Source organism: Homo sapiens, chromosome 19, assembly GCF_000001405.40.
Source record: "Homo sapiens chromosome 19, GRCh38.p14 Primary Assembly".
NCBI lineage: Eukaryota > Metazoa > Chordata > Mammalia > Primates > Hominidae > Homo > Homo sapiens.
The window spans coordinates 50,905,152-50,916,404 of NC_000019.10; the positions used below are offsets into that span (position 1 = coordinate 50,905,152).

Here is an 11,253-nt window from a genome sequence, read left to right on the forward strand (position 1 = left end):
TGTTGGCCAGGCTGGTCTTGAACTCCTGCCCACCTTGTCCTCCCAAAGTGCTGGGATTACAGGTGAGCCACCGCACCTGACCCCAATCTGTTTCTATACCTATTCCCCTCTCCCATCCCAGCAACCAGGCCACATTGAATAATTTTGCCTGTTCTAGAATTTCATATAAATATAATCATATAGTGTATCATATTTTGTGTCTGGCTTCTTTCACTCAGAATAATGATTTTGAGATGCATGTATGTTGTTGCTTATATCAATAGTTTATTTCTTTCTGGTGCAGAGTAGCAATCCATTGTATGGATATATCACAGTTCGCTTATCCACTCACTTACTGATAGACATTTGCTGCATTTCCAATTTCATTATTATGCATGAAGCTACTATAAACATTCTTAGGGAAGTGTTTTCTATGGCTATTACCTAAATACCTAGGAGTAGAATTGCTAGCCGTCATGTGGATGTATGCCTGTCTTTCTAAGAATCTGCCAAGCTGTTTTCCAAAATGGTTGTAGCATTTTACCCCCTACCCCCAGCAATGTAGGAGAGTTACAGCTGCTGTAGATATAACCAAGACTTGATGCTGTTATTCTTTTCAATTTTAGCCATTCTGGTAGCTGTATGTCTTTTGAAATGATTCTATATTTTTCAGATACTGGGTGCAACATTCCATATATGACCATTAAATAGAGTATGTTAATCATACTGTTCAAATTATCTATATACTTATTCAGTCTCCCATCTCCTTGCCCCTCAGTTGCCCCATTGTGCCCCTCAAACTTCCCTCTTTCTACTCCTTGGTCTCTGTTGCTGTCACTCACAGTAGCCCTCGCCACAATTCTCCCCACTAGACTCTAGCTGCAGCAGCCAACTTCTGAGACACATGCAAATTAAAAATTCTTGAAATGCAGTTAAGAAGACAAAAATGAATATAGATCAACTAAAGCTGAATAGTTAAACTAAGCAAGAAAATCTCTACGGTTACCATTTGCTGACCTGACTTTTCAGAAACTGGACAACATCCATGGCACTGGTTTCTCTTAACTATCCAGGGAATGGCCCCTCCCTCTGAAACTCTGTGGCCCTCCTGGTCAAAGCTCGCATTTCCCAGATAGGGAAATGCGACCCATGGAGGGAAAGCCATTTGCTGGAATCTCTTGAATGGAAGGGGAAGCAAGGAGGACACTACAAACAGAACCTGCGCTTCTCTTAGACTTTATTTCTGGATCTAGGGGAAAGGGACAAAAAATGAAAAACCAACTGGTAAGGTTGGGTCAACGTGCCACAAGGGGGCACTGTGTACAGGGAGAGTCTAGGTGGCATTGGACCGCTGGGTCTGAGGGAGGAGGGGCTGGGACCTGGACCTCTGGGTCTGGGGAAGGAGGGGTTGGGGGCCTGGACCTCTGAGTCTGAGGGAGGAGGGGTTGGGGGCCTGGACCCCTGGGTCTGAGGGAGGAGGGGCTGGGGGGTCTGGACTCCTGGGTCTGAGGGAGGAGGGGCTGGACTCCTGGGTCTGAGGGAGGAGGGGCTGGGGGGTCTGGACTCCTGGGTCTGAGGGAGGAGGGGCTGGACTCCTGGGTCTGAGGGAGGAGGGGCTGGGGGGTCTGGACTCCTGGGTCTGAGGGAGGAGGGGCTGGGGATCTGTACCCTTGGTTTGAGGGAGGAGGGGCTGGGGGCCTGGACTCCTGGGCCTGAGGGAGGAGGGGCTGGGAACAGATATTCCTGAATTCCTTCCGCAGGATGTATTTGGGGGTCAATTTCATGGGTTCCCAGTCCCCAGAGTTAACTGGCCTGGACGGTTTTCTCTATCCACTCAGTGAATTTGCAGAGGTTGGTGTAGACACCTGGCACGCCAACTTGGCCACACGGGGCTTTTCCGAAAGACACAAGGCCCTGCAAGTACCCGTTGCAGATCAGGGGCCCCCCAGAGTCACCCTGTTGTGAAGAGAGGGAGAGTCAGAATTCAAAACACAGAGAGGTGGAAATGGATGTGGGCTCAGAAAGGAACTAAATGAGACTGAGAAACAAAGACAGAACCATCATCAATAACAACATAGCCCAGCAACATATCTGTTGGAAGTCCCATTCCAGATCCCTGACTTCATCTAATCCTGCTTCCCGATGTCCTATGTCCTGAATGCTGGCTGCTTCTCTTGGGCTTGTGGTCTGTCTGTTTCTGTTTGTCTGTCTCTCCTTTGTCTCCTTTGTGGCTTGTTTATCTGTCTCAGTGTCTCTGCATCTCTTTGTAAAGTCTTTTTTTTTTTTTTTTTTTTGAGACAGAGTCTTACTCTGTTGCCCCAGCTGGAGTATAGTGGTGTGATCTCAACTCACTTCAACCTCTGCCTCCCATATTCAAGCAATTCTTCTGCCTCAGCCTCCCAAGTAGCTGGGATTACAGGCGCCTGCCACCATATCCAGCTAACTTTTGTATTTTTAGTACAGACAGGATTTCACCATTTTGGCCAGGCTGGTCTTGAACTCCTTACCTCAAGTGATCTGCCTGCCTCGCCTCCCAAAGTGCTGGGATTACAGGCATGAGCCACCCTGCCCAGCCTCTTTGTAGAGTCTTGATTTTTCCTGTTTCTCTTCGTGTTTCACCTCTATGAATCTGTGTCACTGTTTCCCTCTGGGTACACAGTTGACCCTTGAACAACCCTGGTTTGAACTGCACAAGTCCACTTATACTTGGATTTTTTCAATAAACACATTAGAAAAATTTTAGGAGAGTTGCAACAATTTAAAAAAATTCACAGACGAACTGTGTAGCTTAGAAATATCAAAAAATTCCAACAAAGGTATATCATGAATGCATAAAACGTATGCATAAATCGACTATTTATGTTATTGGTAAGGCTCCCCGTCAACAGTAGGCTATTTCTAGTCAGGTTTTTGGGGAGTCAAAAGTTATAAGAGGATTTTCTGTTGGGTGGAGGTCACCGCCCTCAGGCCCCATGCTGTTGGAAGGTCAACTGCATTTCTATGTGTGTGTGTTTCTGCCTCCCCATGTCTGTTTCTGTTTCTCTCTTCCTTTGCTTCTCTTTATTCCTGTGTTTATTTCTCTGTTTCTCTCAGTTTCTCTCTCTAGTTGTCACTGTCTCCCTGTGTGTCTCTCCATCTCTGCATCTCGCCATGCGGCCCTGTGTGTCTCTGTCTCCCCCTTCTCCACCCTTCCCTGAGTCGCCTGCCCTCCCCTTTCCCCTCTCTCACGTTGCAGGAGTCCTTCTGGTCTTGCCCTCCGCCGGCGCAGAACATGCTGGGGTGGTACAGCGGGTCATAGAGCTTACTGCAGACCTCCTCAGACACCACCGACACGTTCACGCACTGCAGCACGGTAGGCATTCTGCCTGGGACGCAGAGCTCTGGGTCAGCCCCCGCGACTGGGCAGAGGACCTCCTTGAAGAGGGCAGACACACACCCGTGAGCTCACCGTTCGCCAGCAGACCCCAGCCAGAAACGAGGCAAGAGTTCCCCGCGGTAGGGCACTGCGAAGCAATGCTGATGCTCCGGATGGTGTCAGACTCGGACACGGATTCGTCCAACTTGATGAGCATGAGGTCGTTAGCGAGCAAGGGTCTGTTGTACTCTGGGTGCCGTACGGAGAGGCTGGCCTCCACCATCTGGCTCCCTGGCTCTTGGTCGGCCTCAAGACTGTGCAGGCCCAGCCCGATGGTGTAGGAGCTGTGGGCCACGGAGGGCAGGTCAGTTTTGTGGCAACTACATCCTTACCTCCATTCTCATCTTCAACCCCATTCCCATCCCCATCTCCTAACCCCAACCCCACCCTCTTCGCTAAACACCCTAAGAGCTACTTAACCATGGTCTCAAATCCTCATTCACAAAAATTCAGGGACAAGAACTTGCCTTAGTTCACTAGAGACTCAGCACTGGGCTGAGATTTCAAGTCAGGACTCTCTGAGTCCTTCCGAAGCAAGATTCCCGCCTCCCAGCCCTTCCCTCTGGGGCTCCCCGGATCCAGGCTCATTCCGTCCTCCTCCCAGAGCCTTCACCGCTGTTTCCCCCTGAGCACCCCAAGATGAGCCTGATATTAGGCCCCGCCCCCGGACCCAGGCCCTGCCCACTCCCCCTACCTCTGCACTCACTTCTGGAAACAGTGTGCGGCTGACAGCACCCACTGCGGATGCACCAGGACGCCCGAGCAGAACAATTCGTTTTCCATGACCAGTGCCGCCTGCCAGGGCTGCGAGTGCGGGCTGCAGTCCTCGCCGTTTATGATTTGGCTGCAGCTACCAGAGACGAGCGATCCTGAGGGCGGAGTCAGGGATGGGATCGGGACCAGGAGGCGGGCCCAGGGTTCCTGGGGGTGGGCTTACCGAGCAGGGGCGTGGTCAGAGGTTCAGGAGCAGTCAGGGCTCCTCGGGGCGGAGTCAGGGCTGGGAACGGGCTCAGGAGGCGGGCCCAGGGCTCTTGGGGGAGGGGTTACCGAGCAGGGGCGTGGTCAGGGCTTCAGGAGCAGTCAGGACTCTTGGGGGGCCGAGTCAGGGCTGGGGGCGGGCCCAGGGGGCGGACCCAGGGCTCCTGGGGGTGGGGTTATGGTGCAGGGGTCATGATCGGAGCTTCAGGGGCTGGTCCAGGATATAGGCCTAGGGCTCCCAGGGGCGGTGATCACGGTGCAGGAGCCTGGTCAGGGATTCAGGGTAGTCAGGGCTCCTGGGAGGAGAGTCAGGGCATGGGGGTGGGCTGAGAAGGCGGGATCAGTGCTCCTAGGGTTGGGGTTACAGCGCAGGGGCGCCATCAAGGCTTCAAGAGCTGGGTTATGGCTAGAGGCAGTCTCAGAAGGTGGGACCAGGGCTTCTGGGGCGGAGTCAGGGCTCTGGGGTGAGCTCTGGAGGTGAGACTGGTGCCATCGCGGTGCAAAGCCACGGTCAGGAGGGGTTCAACAGAGGAGTCTAGGCTCATAGCAGTAGGATCGGGTCCTTCGGGGTGAATTAAAGCTCAGGGGGTGGAGTTGTTGCTGGGAGCAAGGATCGGGTCACTTGTCTGCGCAGACTGATGCTCAAAGAGTCGGTCCTGCGCCGAGTCACTCCTATCCTCTCCCAGCCTTGCCCACAGTCACACCAAGCCACAAGCCCATGCACACCAAAACACCGTTTTATAGTCCTGTGAGGTGAGTTCCTTGGGGATGGGAGAGGGGGATCTCAGGACTGAAGACCCAGGAAGCAGGCACAGATTCCCAGCAATGGATCACGCCCCAGGAAGCACAATCTCCTGCACCCTCGGCTTCCCCTGTCCCCATATCATCATTACACTGTTGTCACTCCACCAGATATTCAGAGGCACAAACTGTCAGAGTCTCACAGGTACAACCACACACCCAGGCACACTGCCACACACAAATTTACCACGATACAAGGAGTTGCAGGGGCACAGCCATGGGGGACGGATAACACGGTACCGTCTCACAGGCAGCTTTGCAGTCACAAGCAAGAGGACACTGAGTCACACCTGAACATTAACAAACACTGTGCCCCCAAGCACGGACAGACACACACACGCATACTCAGATACCTGCGACACCAAGGATGAGGTACCCCAGGAACCAGCCCCAGGGATTTCCTGCTGTGGCCATCACGTCAGCACCTGGGGATGAGGACTGAGACTTAGCCGTGTCTGGGGATCTTCAGCCCAAGTCTCTCCATCCCTCTCTTTGTCCCTCCCTTTCTTCCCTCTGGGACGTTATTAGGTAGGCAAGAGCCTAGACCATCTACCCCCTCTCCCATCCATGGACCCAGAACCTAGAGAGACAGATTTAGAGACTGAGAGAGAAAAAGAGAGAGAGAGATGGGAAAAGAGAGAGAGAGAGAGAACTAGGTAGAAAGGAAAGTTTAGAGAAAGCATCTAGCCATCTGTGAATGGGGAGAGATGGTGTCTAGCCACCCACAAACAAGCATGGAGGGAAGACACACAGAGAATCAGAGCCGGAGAGACAGAGTGCTTGAGAGATATCCTCAGAGACAGTCTGAGAGTTAGACATGGAGATATAGATTCAGAGAGACAGAGAGACCCCTAACTAGAGACAGTGACTCCTAACTAGAGACAGTGAGAGATCTGTCTAGAGAGATGTGGAGACAGAAGGCACAGAGGCTGAGAATCCAGCGACATGGAGCTGTAGGGAGAGTTGGATCATGAACACTGCAGGCTTTTAGTGGGGGACCACCAGGCCTCTTACCCGGCCACCTCTGGGCTCCTGGATTCCACTGCTGGGCTGAGCTCCAGCCTGCTGCCTCCCGCAGGGGCCTCCTTGGGGCTTATAAGCATCCTCAGCCTGGGCTGGCCTGCCCCCAGGGGATGTGTTCCAGGGGTCAGGTGCTGCAAACTTCCAGCTCAACTCTCTCAGGCTGCCTCAACTCTGACCAGGCAGTGGTTGGGGGCCCAGAAGGGGCTGGCAGCAGGGTCTAGGGACCCAGGGAGGAGACCCCTGCCCAGATCCTAGACTCCACTCTCCTTTTTCTTTCTCTCTCTCTCTCTCATTCTTTCTCTTTTCATGTTCTTATTCTCTCTCATGAGATACCTCTCTCTTGCCTGTATCTCTCATTTTCTCTTTCTCTTCTTCTTTCTTTCTCTCATTCTCTCTCTCATTATTTTTCTCGTGTTTTCTTTCATTTCCTCTCATTCTCTCCTGTTCTCTCTCATGTTCTTTCTCTTTTTAAATTAAATCTCTCTCTCTCTCTCCCCTCCTCCTTCATCCCTCTCTTTCTGTGCTTCTCCAGCAAATTTCCCCAGGTTCGTATCCAGCCTACATCACGAACTATTTTTGGAACCTTGGGCAAGTGACTGCACCCCTGTGAGCCTGTTTTTCCAACTGTAAAACTGGAGTGACCATTATGCCCCATTTCCCAAGTGGATTCAAAGAGGTAATTCAGGGAAAGGCACACAGTGCCAGGCACATTGTAGGCTCTCGGTGAGCGGGAGAACTAAAAAGTCTTCGCTCAGTGAAAAGCAGCTGAGTGCCTACCACACTCCGAGCTCTGCGGCAGGTGCTGGGGCCACAGGAGGAACCAGCAAAGTCCTCGTCACTGGGGATCGCGTCCTACCCGGGGGCACAGACCATAAAGGAAAACTGCAGGGACCAGCATATAAGGTGGTGGTCGGGGAGACTCAGAGAAGGGGAACATTTAAGCTGAGATCCCAGGGAAGAGGAGGAGGAGGGTCGCCGCAGCAGGGGCGGTTGCGGGGTGCAGGGGAGAACTTGGCTCCAGCCAGAGGAGGGCAGGGCGGGTAGGAGGGCAGGGCGGGTAGGAGCGCAGACCGGGAACCGGGCGGGCCTGCAGGAGTTTACGTACCAGGATTAAGGAGCTTGGGTTTTACTTAAGTGCAATGGATTTTAAGCACGAGGATGGAGTGACATAATCTTATTTACTTTTTAAAAACTTCCAGCTTGGAGAGTGATGGTGGGGGCGGGGCGGGGGGCAGTGGCAACAGCCCAGGTGGGAGGTGACGGGGTCAAGGGAGAAGAGAGGTGAATGGACACGGGGTCCCCTCTGCATGTGGAGCCAAGTTACTGCCCGATGGATGGAAAGTGGGGGGCCAGGAGCAGAGGGGCCAAGGATGGCGTGGAGGCTTGGTCTGCTGGCTTGCGCTCTACGGATCTTGTGGAGACGCATAGGTGCGGGAAGGGGGGTGGGGGGTGAGAGGGTGCCGTAGACCGCGGAGGGTGCACGGAGGGGCAGGCCGAGGTCAGGACTGCCGAGAAACAGCGGGGACTCATCAGGGGAGAGGTGGTGTTTACAGCCACGAGGCCGGGTGAGATCATCCAAGGAGTGGGTGGGTGTAGACCGCGGAGCCGGCGCGGGTGAGGGATAGTGCCCGCAGGTGACCGCGACGAGGCAGGAATGTCTCTGTGTCTCTCTGTCTCTCCTGGGTCTCTAACACTCTTTCCTTCTCCTTCCTTACTTCTTTCCCCCACAGCCCACCCCGTGTGTCTGTCTCTCTTTCTCTCTGGCTCTCTTTTCCTCTGCCTCTCTGGTCCCATCTCTGTCTCTCTCCCCCTTGTCTCTGTTTCTCTCACCTGCCAGACTGGAAGCATCCCAAGTGAGACCCTCCCCCAACTCTGTCCTGGGCCCGTGCGCCCCCAGATAACTCTGGGCAGGACGGGACATAGGCTGGGACCACAGAACAGGAAGCCCTGGCAGGTTTCTGTCTCTGTCTCTCTTTTCCCTGTCCCTGTCCCTTTCTCTCTCTGATCCCTTCTCTCTCGCTCTCCCTCTGACCTCTGTCTGTGACCCTCTGATCTCTGTCTGTCTCTGTCTGCCCCTGTGTGTCTCTCTTTCCTCCTGTCTCTGTCTCACCTTGCCTTCTCTCTCTGTCTGTGTCTCTGCACCTGTGTCTGTCCATCTTTCTCTGTGTCTCTCTCCTCCCATCTCTGTCTCTGTCTGTGGCTCCGCACCTGTCTCTGTCCATCTTTCTCTGTGTCTCTCTCCTCCCATCTCTGTCTCTGTCTCTCTGTCTGTCTCCGCACCTGTCTGTCCATCTTTCTCTGTGTCTCTCTCCTCCCATCTCTGTCTCTGTCTCTCTGTCTGTCTCTGCACCTGTGTCTGTCCATCTTTCTCTGTGTCTCTCTCCTCCCATCTCTGTCTCTGTCTCTCTGTCTGTGTCTCCGCACCTGTGTGTCTGTCCATCTTTCTCTGTGTCTCTCTCTCCTCCCATCTCTGTCTCTGTCTCTCTGTCTGTGTCTCCGCACCTGTGTCTCTGTCCATCTTTCTCTGTGTCTCTCTCTCCTCCCATCTCTGTCTCTGTCTCTCTGTCTGTGGCTTCGCACCTGTCTCTGTCCATCTTTCTCTGTGTCTCTCTCTCCTCCCATCTCTGTCTCTGTCTCTCTGTCTGTGTCTCCGCACCTGTGTGTCTGTCCATCTTTCTCTGTCTCTCTCTCCTCCCATCTCTGTCTCTGTCTCTCTGTCTGTCTCCGCACCTGTCTGTCCATCTTTCTCTGTGTCTCTCTCCTCCCATCTCTGTCTCTGTCTCTCTGTCTGTCTCTGCACCTGTGTCTGTCCATCTTTCTCTGTGTCTCTCTCCTCCCATCTCTGTCTCTGTCTCTCTGTCTGTGTCTCCGCACCTGTGTGTCTGTCCATCTTTCTCTGTGTCTCTCTCCTCCCATCTCTGTCTCTGTCTCTCTGTCTGTGTCTCCGCACCTGTGTCTCTGTCCATCTTTCTCTGTGTCTCTCTCTCTCCTCCCATCTCTGTCTCTGTCTCTCTGTCTGTGGCTTCGCACATGTCTCTGTCCATCTTTCTCTGTGTCTCTCTCTCCTCCCATCTCTGTCTCTGTCTCTCTGTCTGTGTCTCCGCACCTGTGTGTCTGTCCATCTTTCTCTGTGTCTCTCTCCTCCCATCTCTGTCTCTGTCTCTCTGTCTGTGTCTCCGCACCTGTCTCTGTCCATCTTTCTCTGTGTCTCTCTCCTCCCATCTCTGTCTCTGTCTCTCTGTCTGTGGCTCTGCACCTTTGTCTCTGTCTATCTTTCTCTGTCTCCACTTTCCTCCTGTCTTCTCTCATGTTGCTCTGTCTTTGTTTTCCATGCGCTTCCAACACTTCTCCCTTCGCTCTCTTCATTGTGTCTCAACTCAAGTGTTACTTCTTCAGAGCCCTTCCCTGAGCCCTCCCCTAGTCTGATTCAGGGTCTTCACTCCCCTATTTGTTTTTTCATCTTATAGCATCCTACATGCTCCTTTAGAGAATTTGGTACAATGTATACACGTATTATTATGTGTTTCTTTTTCTTTTTTTTTCTTTTTTGTTTGTTTGTTTGTTTCTTTGAGATGGAGTCTCACTGTGTTACCCAGGCTGGAGTAGAGTGGTGCGATCTCTGCTCACTGCAACCTCCGCCCCCCGGGTTCAAGCGATTCTCCTGCCTCAGCCTCCCCAGTAACTGGGATTATAGGTGCCTGCCACCAATTCTGGCTAATTTTTGTATTTTTAGTAGAGATGGGGTTTCACCATGTTGGCTAGGCTGGTCTCAAACTCCTGACTTCAGGTGATCCGCCCACCTTGGCCTCCCAAAGTGCTGGGATTACAGGCGAGAGCCACCGCGCCCGTCTTGTGTGTTTATTTTTCTAGTAGCTGTTTCTTTCATTAGTGTGGGAGCCCCTTGGGGACAGGGCTGGTGTCTGTTATGTTCACTGATAAAAACTATTCACTGCAGATGTGTTGAGTGGATGGATAAAGGGAGATACAAAAATAGAGAGAGACAGACAGGAGAGGGAGAGATGAAGGCTGACGGAGAGAGAAAATAACAACAGACAACAATGGTAGCTTACTATTAATTAACCTTTAGAATATGTTAAATTAATTGTAAGGAGGTCAAGAACTTACCTTATGTCTGGCCCTCTTCTAAGTATTTTAAATGCAATAACAAATGTATTCCTCAAAAAAATCTAAGAAGTAGATGCTGCTATGAACTTTGTTTGACAGATGGAGAAACTGAGGCACAGAGAGGGTAAGTAGTTTACCAAGGTCACAGAAAGACTGAGGCCAAAAGAGAAGAACAGACAGAAGTGGGTAGATGGAGAGTAGGAGAGAGCTGGGAACACACTGAGAGATGTGGCCAAAAAGATAGGAAGACGCTGAAAGAGAGACACGTCTCAGGAATTAGGAATAATCATCACTTTAAAAATAATAAAATATCAGGTTGGGCGCGGTGGCTCACGCCTGCAATCCCAGCACTTTGGGAGGCTGAGGCGGGTGGATCATCTGAGGTCAGGAGTTCGAGACCAGCCTGGCCAACATGGCAAAACCCCATCTCTACTAAAAATACAAAAATTACCTGGGCGTGGTGGTGGGCCCCTGTAATCCCAGCAACTTGGGAGGCTGAGGCAGGAGAATTACTTGAACCCGGGAGGCAGAGGTTGCAGTGAGTCGAGATCGCGCCATTGCACTCCAGCCTAGGTAACAAGAGTGAAACTCTGTCTCAGAAAACAAACAAGTAATAATAATAATGATAAAATATCTAACATTTATCTATCACCTCTCTTCTAGTTGTCATGGTAACAATTTTATACAAGTTAACTAGTTTTAATTTTCATAACTCCCTGAGGTACTCATCATTATTCCCAATGTGATGAAAGAGGAAATGAACGCACAGAGAGGGCAAGCTACTTATTGAAGATCACACAGCAAAGCAGCCATGCACATGGGCTGCCTGACCCCAGAGCCCATATCTTGAGCTGTTATGCCACCTCTCTCTATAAGTCAGGAAACAGAAGCTGAAGCCAAAGGACAGGTGGGCCTTCCTGTAGATACACAGG

General features: G+C 51.9%; 1 protein-coding gene across 4 annotated transcripts; it reads right to left on the reverse strand.

Annotated features, from left to right (window-relative positions):
- On the reverse strand, positions 1,200 to 6,244 carry KLK4 (kallikrein related peptidase 4). 4 transcript variants are annotated; one of them, NM_004917.5, is made up of 6 exons: positions 6,188 to 6,244; positions 5,527 to 5,598; positions 4,101 to 4,263; positions 3,428 to 3,678; positions 3,208 to 3,344; positions 1,200 to 1,935 (listed from the first exon to the last, which is right to left on the reverse strand). In NM_004917.5, exons 2-6 carry the CDS (start codon positions 5,585 to 5,587, stop codon positions 1,783 to 1,785), a joined length of 765 nt encoding a protein of 254 aa, NP_004908.4. In that variant the 5' UTR covers positions 5,588 to 5,598; positions 6,188 to 6,244; the 3' UTR covers positions 1,200 to 1,782. The 4 variants fall into 4 exon arrangements, 3 of the variants coding, with proteins under 3 accessions (NP_004908.4, NP_001289890.1, XP_011525847.1); NR_126566.2 differs by lacking the exon at positions 6,188 to 6,244 and having other exon boundaries at positions 3,208 to 3,340; positions 4,089 to 4,244; positions 5,527 to 5,587; NM_001302961.2 differs by lacking the exon at positions 6,188 to 6,244 and having other exon boundaries at positions 4,089 to 4,263; positions 5,527 to 5,587.

Excerpts from the sequence above, each read along its gene's own strand:
- KLK4 (NM_004917.5), bottom strand. The coding sequence starts at position 5,587 with ATGGCCACAGCAGGAAATCCCTGGGGCTGGTTCCTGGGGTACCTCATC. Across the intron at positions 3,679-4,100 it reads GCCGCACACTGTTTCCAGAA|CTCCTACACCATCGGGCTGG; the intron begins GTGAGTGCAGAG and ends CGTGGCCCACAG. Across the intron at positions 3,345-3,427 it reads CTGGGGTCTGCTGGCGAACG|GCAGAATGCCTACCGTGCTG; the intron begins GTGAGCTCACGG and ends TCTGCGTCCCAG.